General features: G+C 53.1%; 1 protein-coding gene across 3 annotated transcripts, besides 3 other annotated features; it reads left to right on the plus strand.

Moving 5' to 3' along the window:
• On the plus strand, positions 20-21,553 carry LHX2 (LIM homeobox 2). Of its 3 annotated transcripts, none has more exons than XM_006717323.4 (6): positions 20-720; positions 2,213-2,415; positions 3,374-3,777; positions 9,351-9,556; positions 10,071-10,119; positions 20,672-21,553. In XM_006717323.4, exons 1-5 carry the CDS (start codon positions 601-603, stop codon positions 10,080-10,082), a joined length of 945 nt encoding a protein of 314 aa, XP_006717386.1. In that variant the 5' UTR covers positions 20-600; the 3' UTR covers positions 10,083-10,119; positions 20,672-21,553. The 3 variants fall into 3 exon arrangements, with proteins under 3 accessions (XP_006717386.1, XP_047280038.1, NP_004780.3); XM_047424082.1 differs by lacking the exon at positions 20,672-21,553 and adding an exon at positions 10,728-11,076; NM_004789.4 differs by lacking the exon at positions 10,071-10,119.
• Positions 932-1,504: an enhancer, noted in NCBI's record as "H3K27ac-H3K4me1 hESC enhancer chr9:126774959-126775531 (GRCh37/hg19 assembly coordinates)". NCBI's record gives its function as "activates a minimal SCP1, AML or CMV promoter by ChIP-STARR-seq in naive H9 embryonic stem cells {active_cell/tissue: H9 hESC(naive)}" and the evidence as "EXISTENCE:reporter gene assay evidence [ECO:0000049][PMID:30033119]".
• Positions 1,505-2,077: an enhancer, noted in NCBI's record as "H3K27ac-H3K4me1 hESC enhancer chr9:126775532-126776104 (GRCh37/hg19 assembly coordinates)". NCBI's record gives its function as "activates a minimal SCP1, AML or CMV promoter by ChIP-STARR-seq in naive H9 embryonic stem cells {active_cell/tissue: H9 hESC(naive)}" and the evidence as "EXISTENCE:reporter gene assay evidence [ECO:0000049][PMID:30033119]".
• Positions 18,282-19,069: an enhancer, noted in NCBI's record as "H3K4me1 hESC enhancer chr9:126792309-126793096 (GRCh37/hg19 assembly coordinates)". NCBI's record gives its function as "activates a minimal SCP1, AML or CMV promoter by ChIP-STARR-seq in naive H9 embryonic stem cells {active_cell/tissue: H9 hESC(naive)}" and the evidence as "EXISTENCE:reporter gene assay evidence [ECO:0000049][PMID:30033119]".
• Positions 21,554-22,331: the final 778 nt, after the last annotated feature.

A 22,331-nucleotide genomic window follows, 5' to 3' on the forward strand; every position in this document is an offset into this window, starting at 1 on the left:
CCTCTTCCTCCTCCTCTTCAATTCTCCCGGTGGCTCGACTCGGCTCGCAGGCTTCGGAGAAACCCCTACTCCAGTCGCCGACTCAGCGCCCAAGAGGGTCGCCTTGGGCTGGGGGCGCACCCCAGGGAGGGGAGGGGTCCAGGCAGCTGGGCCGCCGCGGACACCTAGCGGCTTCAGGGTGAACCCCGACCGCAGCCGTCGCCGCCTCGGGCAGAGTTTGCGCCCTTGCTTTGCGCCCCGGGCGCTGAAGCCGGGCGGGCGATGCCCGCGGCGTGAAAGCGCCCGCGGCGGGCGCCGACCTCTGTCCTAGTCTCCTGCTCCCCCCGCCCCGCTTGTCCCGTGCCCTTGTGACCCTGGCTTTGGCGCCGTCGCCCAGGCGCCCCGCAATGTAGCTGCCCCTGCGCCTCGGCGGGAGGCGTCCTGCCCCGCGAGCGCCCGGGGCCCGGAGCCCGGCCTGGGGGCTCAGCCGAGCTCGGGCGGGGCCGGGGCCGCGGTGGCGATGCACCGGGCCCGTTAGCGCCAGGAGCGCCAGGCAGCTGAGGCGGGGGGCAAGCCCTCCCTCGGAGGAGCCGCGCCCCCGGCCCCGCCGGTCCCGCCGCGATGCTGTTCCACAGTCTGTCGGGCCCCGAGGTGCACGGGGTCATCGACGAGATGGACCGCAGGGCCAAGAGCGAGGCTCCCGCCATCAGCTCCGCCATCGACCGCGGCGACACCGAGACGGTAGGCGCGCGGCTGTGGGGTCGGGGCTGAGAGCTGGGATGGGGCCGGGCCAGTCAGCGCCTCTGCTCCCCGAAGTTTGGGGAGCGTCCTTCGTGCCGCACGGGACTGGGTGCTGGGGATCCTCGGTCAGAATGCAAGGCCGGTGGCTCCCGGTTCGGGGGAAACCCGGCTGCTGGGACGCAGAAGGGAAACAAGGTTGAAACCGAAATCTCGGCCCTGGGGGTAGAGGAGAGCGTTTCTTCCGAACTGGAAGCGAAGTCCCATCCGCGGCCCGGGGCGGCTCCCTTCTCACCTTGCCCGGTGCCGGGGTCGACAGCCCCGCGCTCTCCTCCACCTCTCGGCTCCGGTTGCTGGCGGCGCCGCGAGCGGCGCCAGGGAAGGGCGAACCAGCTGGGAGCATTGGGGCTCCAGCCGGCTTGGGCCGCTCCCAGCTTTCCGGCAATCGGGGATCCTCCTCAACCCCCAGCGCAGTTTCAGAGGCCGAAGTCTTCGGGGCCAACATTTGTCGTTGATCGCGTCCCCAGACCCTTGACTGGTCAGACTTAGCCAGGCCAGGGCTGGGAGTTCAGGCTCCGGCCTGGCCCTCGCCGAAGGAGACTCCATTTGGATCTCTACACCTGGCTCCGCGGGCCCAGCCCCAAATAGCCAGTTCCTCGCCTCAGGCCTCCCTGGGGGCCAGACGAGCAGACACTGCCCGACCAGCGGGCCCAGAAGTGACCTTTAGGAGGCCGCGGAGGTGGGGAGCACGGGAGAAGCTTCTCTGCTCCGGGAGCAGGAGCAGCGGCGCCAGTGTCCTCCCGGCCTCTGAGCGCTTCTTCGGTTAGACCTTCTCTGCTGGTCAGTTTGGATAGGGAAGTATTTGGGTTGAACCTGTCCTTCACCCACGGACTTTGAGGGTGTCCCTGCACCCCACTTACCTCATCCCCGGACCCAAGAGGGCCCCAGCCCGTGTGGCAGAGGAGCCAGAAGTTGGCTGACTTGTCCTGGCCTTAACCTCTGGTCTAAGGATCCAGGGATCACTGGAGCTGGGGCCCAGGAACTCCGCTGTCTCTCCAAAGAGGATTCTGTGTGGAGGGTGACTTAATGGTCACCTTATCCCCCGGGTGGCTCATTTAAGAAGCAGTTTAGGGAAAGCTCTTGGAGGGCTTGACTGGAGTAGCTGTCCTGGTCCCTAAACACAGCCCGAGCATTTTGGGGGAAAGGACAGGGAGGACTGGAAGGAAGAGAGGTAAGCACCAGAGCCATTTAGGCCAGGAGCCCGGCCTGGGCCCGTGGCTGGCGAGGGCTGCGCAGGCAGGCCTGGGTTCTGAACCGCCCAGAAATGGAAATGGGCCTTTTGGGGTGGGGGGAAGCGCGCCGCATGTCCTGGCAGCCCCCTCCGCGTTCAGGGTAGCCAAGGCCACAGAGGGAGTTGTGGGTGCCGGTTTCCCGGCGGCGGAGGGGCCGCTGGCTGACGCAGGCGCTGCTGTCTTCCGCCTCCCTCCCTTCGCAGACCATGCCGTCCATCAGCAGTGACCGCGCCGCGCTGTGCGCCGGCTGCGGGGGCAAGATCTCGGACCGCTACTACCTGCTGGCGGTGGACAAGCAGTGGCACATGCGCTGCCTCAAGTGCTGCGAGTGCAAGCTCAACCTGGAGTCGGAGCTCACCTGTTTCAGCAAGGACGGTAGCATCTACTGCAAGGAAGACTACTACAGGTAGCCCCCCCACCCAACTGCCCCTCAGGACCCCTCCCCCCAATCTCAGGCACAGTCTTACAGTTTGGCCCTCTCCTTTCCGTTTAGTCCCAGGAGAGGGTTCACTACTCAGGACTCCCCCGCTCCCCCCCCAAGTTCTCCAAGCCACCACAAGTTGGGTGATAACCTTTTAAAGCAGCAATTTGGGGAGCTCTTGGAAAGGTCTACGAAGTAGGAGAACCAGAAAAAAAGCAGAAGCTGCCCTCCTGCTCGGAGCTTAGACCACAAAAAAGCTTGAGTTGGGATCCTTGCTCCCCTCTCTCTTTGAAGTTTCTTGAGTTAATCCGAGGTTATAGAAACAGGCACCCCCAAACCTAGGCAGCCCAAGCTGGAGTGAAACACAGCTGGAAAGAGAGCTGTGGGAGTGGGTGCATTTCCAGGTCTTTTGAGAAAATGGGAATGAAAGGTGGCCAAGATCAAAGAACCAGAATCACTAGTAGACTCCAAGTTCTCTGTTTCTCCTTCTCCCCAGTTTTAGGATTAGGGTCTATGTATATTCTCTCTGTCTCTGTCTCTACGTCTGTGTCTCTCTCTCTTTCCCTGTCTCTGTGTTTCTTCCAAATTATAAAAGTCAGTAGGATTCCCAGGCGCTGGTTTGGAGGGAGGAGTAAAGGTTGAGGAGGGGGTAAGTGGTAAGTGTCTCCCTCCACTCCCAGGTAAAGGCTTTCCTAGGGCTTGCGGAGACTCTGGGTGAAGTAGAAGTCTCTGTAGGCATAAGTGTGTTAAGGGAAACTATTTTAGGACAGGACCAGGCCTGGGTCAAAATCTAGTTCTCTCTCCCCCCCATCCTCCAAATAAAGGCCGGGTTGTTCGTCTTGAGGAGGGGATTGCCCCCCGCAGCAGCAGCGGCACCTGGAGGAGGAAAAGGGGGGTACCCAACCGTGTGTTCCCACAGCCCCTCCCTCCATGGTCCCTACAGGCGCTTCTCTGTGCAGCGCTGCGCCCGCTGCCACCTGGGCATCTCGGCCTCGGAGATGGTGATGCGCGCTCGGGACTTGGTTTATCACCTCAACTGCTTCACGTGCACCACGTGTAACAAGATGCTGACCACGGGCGACCACTTCGGCATGAAGGACAGCCTGGTCTACTGCCGCTTGCACTTCGAGGCGCTGCTGCAGGGCGAGTACCCCGCACACTTCAACCATGCCGACGTGGCAGCGGCGGCCGCTGCAGCCGCGGCGGCCAAGAGCGCGGGGCTGGGCGCAGCAGGGGCCAACCCTCTGGGTCTTCCCTACTACAATGGCGTGGGCACTGTGCAGAAGGGGCGGCCGAGGAAACGTAAGAGCCCGGGCCCCGGTGCGGATCTGGCGGCCTACAACGCTGGTGAGTGCGCGGCGCACGAAGCGCCCCCATAGGGTTGGGGGAAAGTGTGCGGCCTCGACGGCCGGGAGCTGGATTGAATCTCTGTGTGCTGGGCAAATAGCGAGCCTTAAGCACCGGACGGCCTCGCAGAAGGGACATTAGCCCCCTGGGCTTCCAGACTGTGCGTCCTCGGCTGGAGCGGGAGGAGAGGGTGCAGTGGTCCCTTGCTGCTCCGGGTGCAGGGCCTTGTCTCTGATAAATTGTTTTTTTGGAGATGGCTTTTTGGTTTGGGCCTTTGCCCCACTTTGCTAGGCAGGAAGTGGCAGGGATGGAGAAAGCAAGGCGGCGCTGACGCCAAACAGGTTTTGGGTTGGCGCGGCTGAGGGCCGGGAACTGGGGCAGCGAAGGAACGAGGCAGGGCGGCGAGGGTCCCAAGAGAAAGGGCTGGCTGTGGCCCGGGGCGCCGAGCTCGGCCTGGAGTGCGGCCTGACCTCGTGAAATGTCCCAAGGGCGGCAGGCTTGGGGAACTCGGGCTTGGGGAACTCAGGAAAGCAAAGGCTGCGGTTCCTTTTGCTCGGCCCGATCCTCCTTTAAAGACAGGTCTCAGTTTTCCCGGACTTTTTCCTCCGAGTTTCCTGGCGCCTGCTGGGGTGAGGGCCGTGACCCTCGGAAGCGAGCCCCCCGGGCGGGGACGAGACCGGAGCAGGCCTGGCCTCGCGCCGGGGTGGGGTGGGGTGGGGTGAGGTGGGGGGCTTGGTTCGGATTTCCGGCATCTTTGAACCCCAGGCCATTCCCGGAGAAGCTCTGCCCCCTCCCGCGCCCCTCCCTGCTCAGGACAGCTGCAGAGGTTCTGAGTTCCGGCAAATGAGCCGTCAACATCTGCCCGAAGTCTGCAAGGCCCGGAAAGGTTTATGACTCTCCGGGCTTCCGAACTAGAGTTTATGTGCAATTATTTTCTTTCTTTCGTTTGCAACAGAATTAGATTTGGAGATTTTGTGTTCTTCTTCCTTTTCCCTTTAGTCTAATGCACAAGCAGAAAAAAGCAAAAACAAAAACAAACCCAAGACTGTGCAGAGGGTGCTACGGCGGGAAGAAGTCAGTTATTTTCATCTTAAAGAATCTGAGTTGAATAGAGAGGGAAATGAGGGGCGGGTGTTCGCTCCAACGAAATCGCTTGGAGGATCATGGGGCGTGTGTCCCTGTGTGCGGAACTGGGAGGAAAACGCAGCCCCCAGTTTGGTAAATGGTGAAGCAGCGGTAGGCCGGTCGGTGGCGCGGATTTAAGATTTGCTGAAGGCACTACCACAGATGTAGCTCTCTGGAACTTCCATCCCTCCTCTCCTACCACCCCCCAAAAAAAGACAAAACCGAGTTCAGACCGGCTCCCCCAACACCAAGCCGCTTCTATTTATCAAGTGGGTCAACTTCCACTCGGAAGCACCTCGCGGGGCTCGGCTCCAGGGCACCTGGTGGCTGGGGAGCTGTATTGTTTTCCTGGGCACGGAGGTTCGGCGCCGGTTTTAGGATTGTGCAAAAAGAGAGTAGAAGGTACAGAGATTTATTTCTGCTTTTTGCTGTTCAGCCGCCGTTTGCCCCAGCGAGGTGGGCTGGAGGCTGAATTTCAAGCCTTGTTTAACCTCTACAAGAGACACCCTCCATTCAGCCATCTCACTTTCTCTCTGGCCTCCCTCTCTCTTTTTTTCCTTTCCGTTCTCTCCGTCCTTTCTCTCTATCTCTGTCTCTGTGTGTGTCGTGTTTGTTCCCGTGCCCTCCTCTCCGACCTTGGCCGGGGCTCCTAGTCCTGAGAGAAACGGCGTTCGGTGCGCCGGCGGTGGCTATGCGGCTGGCTCTTTCGGGGCTCCCGGGACTAGGTTGGGGAAAGAGGGCATCTCCCCGGCCTCTCGGGGCCCAGCCCAGTCTTCCTAGATCTGGCGTCCGCCCTTCCCTCCCCTCCCGCACTGGCAGGAGAGAAATGGCCGCAGTGTGGGCCGCGGGGCAGCTAGGACTGGAAAGCGGGGACCCTGGAGGGTGCGATCGCGGACGGGGTGTGCGGGCGCGGGTCGTGTGCGTGTGCGTGCAGGGTTCCGACCACGGGGACACGAGCTTGTTTGTGGCAGTGTCCCACATCCTGTGGCCCAGCCACGACGACCCCTTGCAAAGCCTCTTGCTCTGGGGACAGTCCCTCCGAGGCGCGGCGGCACCTTACTGAAGGGCGGCGAGCTGGGGGCCGAGTGGGGAGGGGGCGCCGTCGGGGCGCCGGGCGCTGGGCTTACAGCAGAGCCGCGGGCCGCGGGGTCGGAAAGTCCTTCCGGGGCGGGGCCGCAGCGGCCTCTTCCCGCAGCCCCTCGGGCCCGGGCCCCGGTGGAACGGAAACCTCCCCCTACCCCGGGAGGGGCTGCCAGCGGGCTGGGGGTGCGAAAACGGCGGCAGGAGCGGGCGAGGGGCCCGGGCCGCGCACTTTGCGCCTGGGTTTGCGCGCCGCGGCCGCGGGAGTCCCGCGCGGACCGGCCGGACGCCCGGCCTCCCCCAGCCCCAGCTTTTTGTGTGTGTGTGCCTGGCGGCGTAATTACTGATTTGATTCCAATCCATTATTTAGACAATTGAACCTACAATCTCGTCTTTAGTAAAATGAGGCGAAGTCAGATTTGATTACAGGTTCAGTCCCAGCGACAAGAGCTCGAAACCCGATGGGTTAATAACAGATCACGAGTAAATTATTCATGATTTTACGAGCTCTTTAGCTCCATTGAATCGGCCTAATTGAGAGGAAAAAAAAAAAAAAGGAGAGAGAAAGCCCGGGTCCTCCCCCTCCCCTCGGCCCCTCGCTCCTCCCCGGATCCGATCCTGGGGAATCTCGACCCGCCCCCGGGCACTGGGGGCGGGAGTGAGGGGGTTCGGGGCGCCGGCCAAACCTGGGCCCCACGGCTGCCTCCCCCGCCGCCGCCCCCTGCCCTTGCCTCTGGCCGGCCTCGGCCTCGCTACTTAGGGCCGGCTCCTTTCCCTTTTTCTCCACTCCCCTTCTTTCCCCTTTTCTCTACTCCCCCGCCAATAACGGCTTCGGAAAAGGCCTCCCCCGCAGGGACCGGGTCTCCCGGAGCCCCGGGATTCAGCTCGGCCACCGGACCCTCGCCACAAGCTGCGCCTGTTTCCGGGACTCGCTTTCCCCTCCGCTCTCCCTATTTCTTGCTGTCTTTGTAGCTGTCTCTCTGTGGTTCTCCTGGCTCCTTCGCTTTCTTTTCCTCTGTCTGTCCTCTCTTTTTCCTGGCTCTGTCCATCTTCCGTCCCTACCCCCTCTCTCTTTCTCTCCCTCCATTCTGCCTTTCTGTGTTTGTCTTTTTCTCTCCTTTCTCTGCCCTTTCTGTCCCCCTCCCCCGCACTACTACCCCACCTAGGCGGCACTCAGGGCAGGTCCCTTGGGCCCATGGGGGCGCCGGGGTCCCCACGGAGCTCATTAACAGCAGCCAGGCCCAGGCGGGGGCTCGGTGGAGGGATGGGCCCAAAGATACCCCGTAGGGAGGCTGCCCCACCCCCAGTGGAGCTGGGGACTGGGGGAAAGAAAAGGGTTGCTCACCTCAGCGGGTTCCAAGCAGTTCTGGTGGATCAGGTTCAGAGGCATCCTCTGATCCCCTTTAAATTGCCGGACCCGCGCTCTTCACTCTGGGCGTGCTCTCTGTGGGAATGCAGCCCCGGGGGTGAGGGGACCTGAGTGCCGGTGGAAAGAGGCCCCTAGGAGGTGTAGCCCCTAGCTAACAGCTCCAAAGGCAGGGGCAAGACTTGTATCTTGCAAATTCTCTCTGCAAGGGGCTCTTCCCCATCTGGGCAGGGGAAGGGGGAGGTCACCAGCAGAGTAAAAGTCCTTTGGAGGTAGTGTGGCCAGGCAAAATGCAGCATCCCCAGTTAAATTGGAATTTTGGGTACGTAACAAATACATTTTTAGTGTAAGTGTCCCCGGCAATATTTGCATTTTGGAAAAATAACGAATAAATTTGAAATTTGTAGTATAAGTGTCCCGTGTAATATTTGAATTTTAGATAAATGACAATTTTTTAGCATAGCTGTGTCACCTGTAGTATTTGAATTTCAGGTAAACAACAAATACATTTTTAGTATAGGTATGTCCCATGCAATATTTAGGACATGCTTATACTAAAAAATTACTTATTATTTTTCTGAAATTTATATTTAACTGGGCAACCTGTATTTTCATTTGCTAAATCTAGAGCTCTGTTACGGGTATGTGATGAGGGCACAAGATACCTTCTCAGTTCTCACTTTAGGCGGACCGAATGTACACCCCTTATGAGGCTTACCCCAAGGCAAGACCTTAAGTGTGGCATGGCTCGGGAGGTGCCATGAGGAGGCGACCTTGGGAGGGGTCCTGCAGGTCCCCATCAGCTTCCAGGTGGCTGAGCAATTTTCTGAGGCCCAGGTTTTCACCCATATTCCCCACCCCCAATGCCAGCCAGGCATTGGCAGCGTGGCCCCCATGAGGCTCCTTGTGGTTAGGGACAGGCTCCCTCCTCCCTTCGTGGTGTAGTGGAAGAAAACAAGGAGTACTCCAGTGCTAAATCTAGGCTCAACAGATCAAGATCAATCTAGCTGGTTACCGGTGGTGTGGCAGTGTGCAAGTGGCTTCATTTCCCTTAGCGTTAGTTTCCACATCTCTAAAATGGGAATAGTCATAGCCACCTCTCTGAGAGGTAATGATGTACAGTGACATTTGTAAAGCCAAACACACACCATAGGTGTCTACTACATGTTTATTTCTGCCTCGGACTTCCTTCCCCGTCCACTCTGCCGCTCTCTGTGGACTGCCGCAGATCTCTGAACTTCCCCGAGCCTAATTTGCTCCACTTGTTCACGGAGAAACAATCATCTTACAGGGTAGCGATGAGGATTAAACTGCAAAATGCAGTTTCCAACCTTTGGCCCAGTGCCCAAGGCCCAGGGGTCCCTCAGTACTTTTGGGTGTGGCAAAATGAACATGAATCTCTGTTTCAGCAGTTTCTAGGTGCCGGTCCCAGACACGGTAGGGGGAGACGGCAGAAAGCACTCCTCCTTAGAGTGCCTTGGAAAACAGGAGGAGGGCAGGCCCAGAGACCCTGTCCTGCTGTGTCCAAAGTCAAGTGACTTCCCTTGCTGAGCCTCAGTTTCAACATCTGTAAAAACGGGAAAAATAATACCTGGTGCTCCTAGGATTGTTTTAAGTACCTAAAGAAAATGTGCCTGGAAAGCCCTTTAACACATCACCTGGAGTTCAATCGGCCATCAACAAGTCGTAGCTGTTGTTGCTGCTGCTGCTGCTGCTGCTACTATTGTTCTTATTGTAACATAATGGCTCAGAATGATTTTTGGATTCTCCCAGAGCCGGGATTCAGTGCTGCAGTTCTTAGCAGTGTGATCCTGGGTGGATCGCTGTCTCTGAGCCTCAGTGTTTCCATCTATAAAATGGGGATGATGTCCCCCTTTCATTGTGGCGCAGACATGCAGCAGGGTTAAGGATTGAAATGTTTGGCAGTGGGTGGGGCGAGTGTGGATTTGGCATGGGGGGCGGGTCAGGAAGTTCACCCACCGGCTCTGTGTCTCCTCCCTAGCGCTAAGCTGCAACGAAAACGACGCAGAGCACCTGGACCGTGACCAGCCATACCCGAGCAGCCAGAAGACCAAGCGCATGCGCACGTCCTTCAAGCACCACCAGCTTCGGACCATGAAGTCTTACTTTGCCATTAACCACAACCCCGACGCCAAGGACTTGAAGCAGCTCGCGCAAAAGACGGGCCTCACCAAGCGGGTCCTCCAGGTCAGCCAGGGCCAGGGGTGAGGGCATCTGCGACCACCAGGGACTGGGGTGGAACCCTGCACCCCTCGCCGTGGGCCTTGGAAGGACCTTCCACCCTGTGTCTGCTTCTCTGTGTGTTTAATCTTTCTCATTCTCTTTCTTCACCTCTCCAGCCTGTCCCCATCTGTATTTCAGTCTTTTTTTTCTTACTTTGTCTTTTCTCTTTTTCAGTTTTTGCCTCTCTGTTTTTCTGTTTGCGTATCGCTCCATCCTCATTGTCTCCACACTCGGTCTCTTTTCTTTCTTCTAAACAATTCTTAGTTTCTGTTTATTATTCAAGTGACACTCATTTTACACACATTCACATCATAAAAGGTTCAAACATTTCAGATAAATCTAGAGGCCGCCCCACCCCATCCCAGGACGTACACCCAAGGTGACTATCATTAGCTCCTGCTTCTTGCTTCTTACCCACTCTAGTTTCTCTTCTCTTGCTGTCTGCCTCTGTCTCACTCCCCCCTCTCTCTTCCTTCAGGCATCTCTCTAGATTTATCTTCTGCCTCCCAGACTCTCCTGGAAGCAAGGTTTGGTGGTGGGGATGTGTGTGGGCAGATTCCCTGGGTGGGCAGGTGGGGGCGGGACTGCCCAGAGGACATGGTGGGGTGGGGGAGCGGCTGGGTGCCTGTGAAACTCAGCAGAACTGCACTTACATGTGCGAGTAACTTCTTAATAGAGAAGATCCAGAACTTTCACCAAATTTTCACACCCCTAGAGATGTTAAGAACCCTAGTCTGGAGGCACAGAAGCAGGTCCCAGGCTCCTGCATGACCCAAAGTTGTGGCAGAGTCGTGGGCCACATCTCAAACGGTCAGCTCCTCCTTTTACTCATTTTAGGGTCTTAGGCAAGTCACTTGACTTTTTGTAGCCTGTTTCCTCATACAAGAAATGGATACAATAAATTATGCTGCCGGGTTATCCAAGGAGCCACTGAAATGACGTGCCTGTGGTGCGACCTGACACTTCGTTGCTCAGTGGATGGTAGCCAATAACAGCATTAACTAGATTCATTAGCTGGCATGATTCACTAGTATGAGCAATTATTCTGGTAGTGGACATCAGTTTCCCCATTCGTACAAAGAGAAGGCAAGACAATGCCTCCCTTGATAGCAAGTTTAACCAATTTATTCTTCAGAACGTGTGGTTACAGTGCCAGCGACACACATTTTGAGGGAAGAAAACCGAGGGATGAAGTAACCGGACAGCCTCACAACAGGAGGGGAGGTGGTGGGATTCGAGTCCAGGCCAGTCTGACCCACCCTCCAGCCCCAGGTCTCTGGGATTGAGGGCTGGGAGGTGACACAGAGGGATGACGGAGACGGAGGGCTGCGCAGCTGCCCTGAGAAAGTTCTTGTGAGTTTGTCAGAAACAAAAAACAAACAAAAAAATGCCCTCTGTGGGGCGGGTGGAGGCTGTGACGCGGCGCAACTGCAGCTGCAGCTGCGGGGGGAGCCGGGAGTTGGGGCCCCTAGGCTCCCGAGGCGCCCCCTTGAGCAGCGCTGCCCACGGGGAGCGGGCGAGGGGCTGCGGGAGAGGGAGGACTGGGTGACGTAGCCGAGGGAGGGAGCGTCGGCCAATGGGATGCCGATGCGCCCCTCTGGGCCCGCCCCTCCCTCATGGTCTGTTTTGCTTTGGAGTCCCAGTGGCCTGAGCTCCTGGTGGATGGAGAACGTGACTACACTGGCTGGGGTAGCAGGTCCCTCTCGTCTGTTTCCTTCGTTGTTTGCCTTCTTGGGGTTAGGTCAAGGACCCTCTTTGGCGTCCCCTCCCTTCAGCCGTGGGTGAGTTCGGACTGAGGACTTGGGGTTGGGCTGCCTTTTCTCTGCTTAGTAGGACCCTTCGTCCTTCCCCAACCCAGTTGCTCTGTGGCAGGGATGTCCAATCTTTTGGCTTCCCTGGGCCACATTGGAAGAAGAAGAATTGTTTTGGGTTACACATAAAATACACTAACACGAACGATAGTTGTTGAGCTAAAATAATAATAATAATAATAATGTTTTAAGACAGTTTACGAATTTGTGTTAGGCCACATTCAAAGCCCTCCTGGGCATAGACAGGCTTGCTCTATGGAGTGGGGTCAGGGGAGGGAGGGCAGTTCTATGAATTAATGCTTTAGCTGGGGATGGAACCGGGTTCAGGAAGACCTGGGCTGGGTTCACTGGCTGTGTGTCTTGGACAAATTAGTTACCCTCTCTGAGCCATAGATTTCTCATCTGTAGAAAGGGCACCATTAGGGCACAAACCTCTCTCAGTTATCCAGATTAAATGAAATGAAGAGTAAGTACCCATAGTTGAATCAGAATTTCCAGTGAGGAGCCAGTCTCTGTTGGCCTTGGGGAGGCAGAAGGCTTGGTCACCTGACTTAGGAACAAATCAGATTTCCAGGAGAGTTACCTCTTATTCTTTCATCTGATGAAACATATATTGGCACCAGGCCTTGGGGACACAGAGATGAACAAACCATGGTCCTGGCCCTGAGGAAATTCACCTGTTAGGTATAGACACAGACCCATGTACAGTTTCCTCATGGTGTGATCCGTTGGGGCACCTACTGAGGGAGCCCAGAGGAAGGACCAACCATGCTGTGTACCAGGCAGCATGATCCCTCTTCCCCCACCATCCAGATGAGAAGGCAGAGGCCCAAATGATCTCCACTTGCCCCAAATCACACTTTATAGTTACCTGCAGAGCTGGATCCAAATCCAGGCCTGCCTGATCAATGGACATAGTTCTTTCTTCTTTGAGCCAATCTGGCAATGACTGTCTGGGTGTGAGTTTCATTTAGGGTCTGTATACTGGGGGTGGGGCATACGTGTAGCACTGTTCTCCCTTTTTCCCAGACCACATTTGCACAAATCCCAAATATTCCTATTGCACATGGTGATGCAGCAGTTTACAAAGCATTATCTTTCCAGCCACGTATCTACCTTACCTTAAGATTTTTCTGCCCATTTTACAGATGAGAAGCTTAAGACCTAGTAAGATGAGGTGATTTGCTGCTGGATACAGGAGCCAGGCATTGGCAGGGTGGGGCTTGCCCCCAGGTGCCCTGAATGCTGATGGGGAATCTGGCAGACATGGGATGGGAACAGTTTGAGGCAGTTGGTAGTATGCCTTTGAAAGGTAACAGACTGGTTTTAATCCTGTCTGACTTACCAGCAGTGAGATTTGGATGTTTTAATTTCTCCTCTCTGAGCCTGATGCCTTATCTATGAAATGGGGATGAGAAGGATACCTTACTGGTGGTTGCACGGAGTAAATAAGATGACATACAGTATAATTTACAGAGTGTAGAGTCAGGACCCAGGCATGCTGATCTCATGCACTCATTTACACAGTACAGTTCAGTCTCCTGCAGTCATTTACACAGTACAGTTCATTCTGCAACCCTCTTTGCACACATTTTAAAAATGTGATTATCTTCATTTTGCAGATGATGAAACTGAGATTCTGAGAGTCTAGAACCCTGGCCCTGAGTCTCACAGCTAGTAAGTGATGAAGCCAGGAGTCGAGTTCAGATTGGTCTGAAATTTCCAAAGCTCTTTCCAATATTGCACACGAAGGGATTTTGACTTTTTTCCCTTGGATCTGGCTGCAGAGTGCAGCAGTACAGTGGGAGAGGAGGGAAGGTGTGGGTCACAGATGCCATGTCTTGGTAGGGAAGCAGAAACCTCTAGTAAAGTGCTCGTCACATAAAAGGTGCTCACATTTGCCATCAGCAGCAGCATGGCAACTACAATACTCACTATCAGTGGGCAAGGTGACTAGGAGACAGAATGGCCCCTTAGACGGAGGTCCTTTAAGACTTTAAGCCTTGGCCGGGCACTGTGGCTCACGCCTGTAATCCCAGCACTTTGGGAGGCAGGCCGAGGCGGGCGGATTACAAGGTCAGGAGATCGAAACCATCCTGGCTAACACAGAGAAACCCCATCTCTACTAAAAATACAAAAATTAGCCGGGCGTGGTGGCATGTGCCTGTAGTCCCAGCTGCTGGGGAGGCTGAGGCAGGAGAATGGCGTGAACCCGGGAGGCGGAGCTTGCAGTGAGCCAAGATTGCGCCACTGCACTCCAGCCTGGGCGACAGAGTGAGACTCTGTCTCAAAAAAAAAAAAAAAAAAAAAAAGACTTTAAGCCTTACAAATGCATGGAGACCATTTCTCACCACATAGAAGTCTCTCTGAGTTGCTTTCCTTCCTTCCTGTGGAAGGGCCAGGGAAGCAGCATATTAAGATGCCCTAAGCTTGGGGAAGTGAGTGATGAGCTGATTGATTTGGGTGGGTGAAGGTCTCCATAGGGGTTCCCTGGTGTGACTTTGGAAGAAAACACATTTTAACCACCAACAGCTTAAAAACCATCTTTCAGTCTGGGTGTGGTGGCTCACACTTATAATCCCAGTACTTTGGGAGGCTGAAGTGGGCAGATCACTTGAGGCCAGGCATTTGAGACCAGCCTGGCCAACATGGTGAAAACCCGTTCCCTACTAAAAATACAAAAATTAGCCAGGCATGGTGGCGCACACCTGTAGTCCCAGGTACTCGGGAGGCTGAGGCAGGAGAATCACTTGAACCCAGGAGGTGGAGGTTGCAGTGAGCTGAGATTGTGCCACTGCACTCCAGCCTGGGCAACAGAGCAAGACTCTGTCTCCAAAATAAATAAATAAATAGCATCTTTCAGGTGACTAGTTAGTTATTACTAACCTGTGTGAGAATTTAGGAGTTGAGTACTCTAGCTTTCCTCTGGCCACTCACTTGTTTGACAGATATATTGACCTGCCATGTGCCGGGCAGGGCTGGAGGCACTGAGGATTCAGTGGGGAACAAGACAATGAACAAGACTGGCTGGGCGTGGTGGCTCACGCCTGTAATTCCAGCACTTTGGGAGGCGGAGGCGGGTGGATCACCTGAGGTCAGGAGTTCAAGACCAGCCTCACCAACATGGTGAAACCCGTCTCTACTAAAAACACAAAAATTAGCTGGGCATGGTGGCATGTGCCTGTAATCCCAGCTACTTGGGAGGCTGAGGCAGGAGGAGGATCGCTTGAGCCCAGGAGGTGGAGGTTGCAGTGAGCCAAGGTTGCACCACTGTACTCCAGCCAGGGTGACAGAGCAAGACTCTGTCTCAAAAAAAAAAAAAAAAGACATTGAACAAGACCCCACTGGAACATCCACCCAGAGGGCATGTGGAGCAAGGTGTGGGATAAACAATTGACAAGGTGCCAAGATTAATCTCTGTGTTTTTCTTTTAAATGATTCTAAGCTCAAATAGGTTTGGGAAAGGCTCAAGGTTGACTGTGTCTTTCTCTTGGAGATCAGAGCATGTTAGCATTAATACAGGCACTGAGAAATCTGGAAGAGACTCAACTTTGTCTAATCTAACATTTCCCAAATTTTATTTGGCCATATAATTCTTATTTAACTCTTGTAAAGAAATAAAATGGTAGACGTGCTAGGTAGGAAAAATGCAAGGGTACAATTAGAGCACAGAGACCTGACCTGCTGAAGGAGGTAGTCAGGGAAGGCTTCCCTGAGGAGGAGGTGTGGTTTATATCAGGGCAAGTCACTTCATTACTTTGAACCTCCATTTCCCTACCTGTAAAGTGGTCTTTTTCCTGCCTGTCTACCACCCAGGTGGGTGATAAGTGTCCAATCTAGTCCTAGATGGCCTAAGCTGTATGGAGTTTCACAGACAATTTGGCCTAAACCTCTCAGTTCAAAGGAAAGGAAATCAAGACTCAGAGAGGTGGAGTGACTTTCCCAAGAACCACAGCAAAGTGGTTCTAGGCCTGGGGCTAGAACCAAGGGTTTCTGATTTCCAGTTCAGTGCTTATTACTTTTGGTTCTTTAAAGAAAACTTCTTTAAAAGTTTACAAAATACTAGAACTGCCATACCAACAGTTTAGAAAAATAGGAAAAACAGAAAACAACAACAGCAAAACAAACAAAAAAAACCGTACCCTTCTAAGAGCACAGGAATCCAATAATTAAAGTGTGTGATTTAGAGGTTAAGTAGTGGTTAAGGGCATAGAACCAGTCTGTTGGAAGTCACATCTCAATTCTGTTTGTGCAGTAAGAGGCACACAGTTTCTACTCCTGCAAATTGGCAATAATATTCACATCTACCGCATAGGGTTATTATAAGGACCAAATGAGTTAATGTGTAAAGTGCTTAGGACTTTGCTTATAAAATGCCTGGCACTGGCTGGGTGTGGTGTCTCCTGCCTGTAATCCCAGCACTTTGGGAGGCCGAGGTGGGCAGATCACAAGGTCAGGAGGTGGAGACCATCCTGGCTAATACAGTGAAACCCATCTCTACTAAAAAATATAAAAAATTAGCCGGGCATGGTGCCACATGCTTGTATTCCCAGCTACTTGGGAGGCTGAGGCAGGAGAATTGCTTGAACCCGGGAGGCAGAGGTTGCAGTGAGCTGAGATCGCACTACTGTACTCCAGCCTGGGCAACAGAGCGAGACTTCATCTCAAAAAAAAAGATGCCTGGCACTTCATGAGGAATAGTATTCATCATTATTATTTGCTTTATGAAGGTACAATACCAGAAGGCATAGTTTTTTTTTATCCTTTTTTTCACCTAACAGCCATCACAAGACATTTCCCCTGTGGCATCGTGGAGTGGCTGTGTCATGACTCCCACTTGCCGCATCTGAGTGGACACTTTGGATGCAGCCATTAGTTTGATGTTATTAAAAATGCCATGATGGGCATGAAGCTTTCATCTTTTGGCTGATTTCCTTAGCATCCCAGGTGGGGATTTGCTGGGGGCAAAGTGGGTTTCCCACTGGCCCTCCTGGCTTTCTTGATGAAAGAATTCTGGGGAAGGAGGTTTGTGAGGCAAAACACAACTTGCATGGTCAGGTAGTGCCTGGGAAGGGGCAAGAAGCAACGTGTGCTTCTTCATCTACCCAGGGCTTATTGGAGATCTACCGCGCACCAGGCTGGGGCACCCCGGCCTGGTGTTAGTTGTGTCCTGATGATTCTCTGTCTGAACTTCGCCTTCTTGTCCCAGACACACAGTCCAGAGAACTTGAGGCATGTGAAAAGAGAAGGCCTGTCAGTTTCAGAAGATGGGTGGGTGGGGCAGACTGCACCTTGTTGCTTGCAGCTGCCTAAGAATCCCAGCCTGTCAGAACCCTGAGAGCCATAGAGATCGTATGATGTGGTCTAACCCTCTTGTTGTACAAGTGAAGAAACTGAGGCCGGTCCAGAGGTGAGGGACAAACCCGAGGTCACGTGGTAGTCCCAGGACTGGAAGCTGCTCTTTCCACTGCACTATAGTTGCTTCTCTGTTTCTTCATCCATTTATTCACTCATTCATGGACTTGCTACCTCCCTCAGGACCATGTGGCAGGGAGAGCATGGACTCTTTTAGGGCAAGTGGTCCTGGATTCCAGTCTCAGGTTGCCCTCTGTGTGACCTTTGGCAAGTGGTTTTACCACTCTGACCCTCTCTGGTTTTTAAATCTATACAGTGAGGGCAGGCACGGTGGCTCATGCCTATAATCCCAGAACTTTGGGAGGCCAAGGTGGGCGGATCACCTGAGGTCAGGAGTTCAAGACCAGCCTGGCCAACATGGTGAAACTCCGTCTGTACTAAAAATACAAAAAAATTAGCCAGGCATGGTGGCGGGTGCCTGTAATCCCAGCCACTCAGGAGATTGAGGCAGGAGAGAATCACTTGAACCTGGGAGGCAGAGGTTGAAATGAGCTGAGATCGTGCCACTGCACTCCAGCCTGGGTGACAGAGCAAGACTCTGTCTCAAAAAATAATAATAATAATAATAATAGTCAATAAATAAATCTATAAAATGGGAATAATAATAGTCGAATCCACCTACTTGGCTTTTCATGGGAATAACCTGTGGCAGTGCATGCTGGAGGGTGGCATGGAGCCTGGCACATAGTAAAAGGTACATACATGTCAGCCATTCCTATGAATACATATTACTGATTCTTAATCTCTGCCAGTCTCTGCCATGCACCGGGGGACATGAAGATAGCATAGAAAGGGTCCCTGCTCCCATCAAACTCTCAGGAGTGGACTTTTTGAAATACCTGGGAGAGAATTCTAGTGAAGCCCTGACAACATGAAGAACAAACCCCACACAACCCCAGAGCAGCCGGGCTTTTAATGAAGTTGTTGAATTTTCATCTACCAGATTCCCAGTGCCTCAGCTCTGGAAAGCAGAGAAGGTAGTTGTGGACGATGGTGTCATTGTTTACAAGCCCACTGTTAGGGGCAACAGCCTGAGAAATAGCAAACAGCCGGCAACTAACCGGGTCCAGCCCTGCCCGAGGTCTTGGAGCCCCGGATGGATGAGCAAATGAGCACCCGGCAAAGCACCCTCAAACCCTCGACCCAGGCTCCCCGCTCCAGCTACTGCTCTGAGAGTCAGACGCACAGAGCACAGGCTGCTCAGGGGTCACACGCACACAGGCCAGGACAGTGGCAAGGCAGCGGCACCAAGGCTCCGGCCTTCTCCACCCCAATCTGCATGACTTTGGGGAAGTCACTTCCTCTCTCTGAGGGCCTCTGGGGGCTTCCCCATCCATTTTCTTTAGGCCACCAGGACACAGTCTCTCCCCTACAGATTTCTGCTGGCCGGGAAAGGGAAGGACCCCCCCACCCCAGGGAAAGCATGTCAAGGGTGGTCTGAGAAGCACTGTACTTATTTGCCAGCCCCCAGAAGGGGTGATGGGCTTTCTTTGGGCGGAGAGCCAGGGAAAATGTGCCTTCTTCCTGGGAAGATCCAGCACTGAGGAGGGAGCTTGGTTTCTCCACTTCACAGGGTCTGGATCTCCCACTTTACTCCAAGATTCTTGTGGATTTGCTTTTAATTGAGCCCAAATTGTGTTACGCCACCAGAAACGGGGGTTTGAGGCCACAGGCCCCTGCAGCCGGGGTGGTCCCAAGGGGTGCGTGGGGCCAGGAGTCAGCCCTCCCTCTCCTGCCAGAGACACTGGGAAGACAGGCAGATGCAGGACATCTGGAAATGCGCAACTGGACACCCCAGAATCTGCAGAGTGCCCTGAGGCCCTTTGTTTTATGGGGAGGCTTCTGGCGGGTGTTTTCCTCACGCAAAGGGAAGTGAAGGGGCCCTGCCTTTCAGGACTTTTTCCTTGGAAGGTTCAACCCCCCCAGAGTGGCCTGGATTTCCTAAGCCCCTCCCAAAGTACTTCGTGGACCTCTGGGTACAGCGGGTCCCTGTGTTTGTGCTGTTAGATGGGTGGTGGTACTTAGGTGCTGGCTGTGTAGATGAATTTCATTTTTCTTTTCTTTTTTTTTTTTTTTTTTTTTTGAGATGGAGTCTTGCTCTGTGGCCCAGGCTGGAGTGCAGTGGTGGGATCTTGGCTCACTGTATCCTCCGCCTCCCGGGTTCAAGCAGTTCTTCTGTCTCAGCCTCCCGAGTAGCTGAGGTTACAGGAGCGCACCATCACACCCAGCTAATTTTTTATATTTTTAGTAGAGATGGGGTTTCACCATGTTGGACAGGCTGGTCTCGAACTGCTGACCTCAAGTGATCCACCTGCCTCGGCCTCCCAAAGTGCTGGGATTACGGGCTTGAGCCACTGTGCCCGTCCTTAGATGAATTTCTGTGTGTCTTCCTGAATGCTTACAGGCGTGTGTGCAAAGATATGGGAGTGGACGCGTGTGTGTCTGTGCCCAAGGAAAAATGAAAGTAAACCCATGTTCTCTCACTGACATTCTTTTCAGACAGAGCTCAGCCCCAGCTCTGCGCCCCGCCGCACGTCCCTCATAAGTCGATACGGGATGCAGCAGGTCGGGAGAGAGACTCTGCGGGTTTCAACTTCCCTGGCCTCACTTTAATTTGGCTGCCGTTCCCACGCTGCCTACCTCCACCCACCTCCACCCTGAGACCTGACACCCAGTGGCCCAGGGTACCTGGTGGCTCCCCCAACCGATGATGGGGATAGGTTCCGTGTCTTTCACTTCCTCTTAGTAACTCATTATTATTGCCTGATTCTCATGTGTTCTTTATCGCATTCCCAGACTTACTGACCACAAAACATTTAAAACATTTTACCAACAAGAACTTGTGGGGTTTATTGTCTGCTGAAAGGCAACTGCCAAAAAAGGAAAAAGAAAAAAAAAAAAGGAATGTCTCAAAGAACCATTAGGAAAAGGATCAAGATTTGTCTGGTGTGTGTGTTTGGTGTGTCTGATAGAAATGCAACATGAGGCACACATTTAATTTTAAGTTTTAAATGTCCTAGTAGCCTCCTTGAAGAAATGAAGAGAGACAAGTAAAAGTAAAATTAATTTTAATAATGTATTTTGCTTAACTCAGTATAGCCAAACTATTAATCATTTCGACATGTAATCAATATAAAAATTATTGAGATATTCTACCTGCTTTTTTTTTCATATTCAGCCTTCAGATAGGTTGTGTGTTTTCACCTGCAGACTGGTTGAATTTGGGCTAATGCCATTTTAAGTGCTCAGCAGCCATACGTGGCTCGTGGCTGTGATATTCGGGAGTACAGCTCAGCTCTGGAACCACCTATCAGAAAGAGAAGCCCAGCCGTAGCCCATTAGATAGAGTGAAATTTTTGTTTTATTTTATTAAGAGCAAAATATTGGCCAGGTGCAGTGGCTCACATCTGTAATCCCAACGCTTTAGGAGGCTGAGGCAGGAGGGATCACTTGAAGCCTGGAGTTTGAGACCAGCCTGGTCAACATTGCAAGACCCCGTCTCTACAAAAAATAACTTAAAAAGTTAGCGGGGCCGGTGGTGCTCACCTATCTATAGCCCCAGCTACCCAGGAGGCTGAGGCGGGAGGATCGCTTGATCCCAGGAGTTAGAAGCTGCAGTGAGTCGAGATTGTGTCACTGCACTTCAGCCTGGGGGACCAAGCCAGACCCTGTCTGCAAACAAAAACAAAAACAAAAAAACCAAAAAAGCAAAATATTGCCAACCTGACTTTTTGGATCCTCTTGGCAAAACACAGATCAGCGTCCCCAGAGGCAGCAGAGCTCTGAGTGAAGCAGTCGGGGGGATGCTCTGCCTGCCTTCCGCTCACCAGCCCTTCCCTGTCGTCCCCCGCAGGTCTGGTTCCAGAACGCCCGAGCCAAGTTCAGGCGCAACCTCTTACGGCAGGAAAACACGGGCGTGGACAAGTCGACAGACGCGGCGCTGCAGACAGGGACGCCATCGGGCCCGGCCTCGGAGCTCTCCAACGCCTCGCTCAGCCCCTCCAGCACGCCCACCACCCTGACAGACTTGACTAGCCCCACCCTGCCAACTGTGACGTCCGTCTTAACTTCTGTGCCTGGCAACCTGGAGGGCCATGAGCCTCACAGCCCCTCACAAACGACTCTTACCAACCTTTTCTAATGACTCGCAACCCCTCACCCCACAATTTCTTTAAAAAAGAAATTATCTTTAGTTGAATTCCAAGTGTATTTTAAAATAGAGGCTTTGAGCAACTAACTAACCACATTTTAGGATCTCGCCTGGAAACAGAGGTAAAAAAAAGAAGTGTGCGCCCGGCTAATGCAGCGGTGTGGACCGAGGAACAACTTGGAAGATCTACCTGCAACACAACATTTGTGTCACTGTACAGTTTTGTGGACTGAGCGAGGAAAAACAACAAATAATTTAAGTTGGCTAGAGCTTCTGTATTTTCAAAGACTGCCACGTGCCTTAGGAATACTGTTTTATCTCCATACTTTGGATGACTTGTTCATTTTTCTCTCCCTCTTTTTCTCTGTATATTTATGACCAGAGCAAAAATGTAAAAAACAAAAAAAACAACAAAAAAAGTTTGTTACTTTGAATAGTCCTAAAAAGAAAAAAAGAAAAAAAAAAAAGGAAAAATCAAACCCCCTCCAACGGTCGCTTTGTTGTTTTAGAATTTTAAGGTGGAAGTCTGTTCGAATATCAGAATTTGTAAAATCTAACCAGTAATAAAACCACTTATTGAAACTACTTGGGGCTGCTGCCATTTGGTTGGGTGTGAAATTGACAGGACCTAAGAGTTTTACTGAGGCCCAGAGATCAATTCTAGGTCTTCACATATTCATCAGATATTCCTGGGGCTCCTGTCTTGTGCCAGGCTTTGGACGGATTACAGAGATGCCGAGACAAAGATCCAATTCCTGCTCTCAAGGAATCAGAATGGTGACACGGGACAGACAAAAGATATCTTAACAGGGTGTGATATGTGCTCAAGTGGAGGATATGCAACATCCCATTCATTCATTCATTCATTATTCATTCATTCATTCTTTCAAATATTTAATGAGCACACCCTGCCAGATGCTTGTGATGCAGAGGTCAGAGGCCCTTTTCTGCTCCTGGCTGGGCTGGAAAGAAGGCATGTCAGGCGATGAGGGAGGCCTCCTGAAAAACCTGCAGCTTTTCCCTACGAGGAGTGAACGCAGTTAACAAAGGGCAGCTTAAGCTCCAGTTTTCCTAATGACACAAAATTTCAAGATCGCTAGAGAGGGCAAAAGCAAATGAATTCTGTTCCTTTCCTAAAGTTTCAGGGAACCTCAGAAACCCAGAGAAAAGACACACCCAGAGAGGAGGGAGGGTTGGAGCCAGGCAGAATGAAGTTGGAATTCCTACTGTTGAGCAGGGTGAGCTGAAGGAAGTCATTTCACTTCATTGGGCGTCAGTTTCCTCAGCTATGAGCTGAAGATAATGAATGGCCCTTGCATGGCAGTTGTAGTGGGGGCAAAAGGTAAGATGTGTTGAAGAGCCC

This window comes from Homo sapiens, chromosome 9, assembly GCF_000001405.40.
Source record: "Homo sapiens chromosome 9, GRCh38.p14 Primary Assembly".
NCBI lineage: Eukaryota > Metazoa > Chordata > Mammalia > Primates > Hominidae > Homo > Homo sapiens.

Coding starts and splice junctions, on each gene's coding strand:
- LHX2 (NM_004789.4), top strand. CDS start 601: ATGCTGTTCCACAGTCTGTCGGGCCCCGAGGTGCACGGGGTCATCGAC. Junction 721..2,212: donor ACCGCGGCGACACCGAGACG/GTAGGCGCGCGG, acceptor CTCCCTTCGCAG/ACCATGCCGTCCATCAGCAG. Junction 9,557..20,671: donor TCACCAAGCGGGTCCTCCAG/GTCAGCCAGGGC, acceptor CGTCCCCCGCAG/GTCTGGTTCCAGAACGCCCG.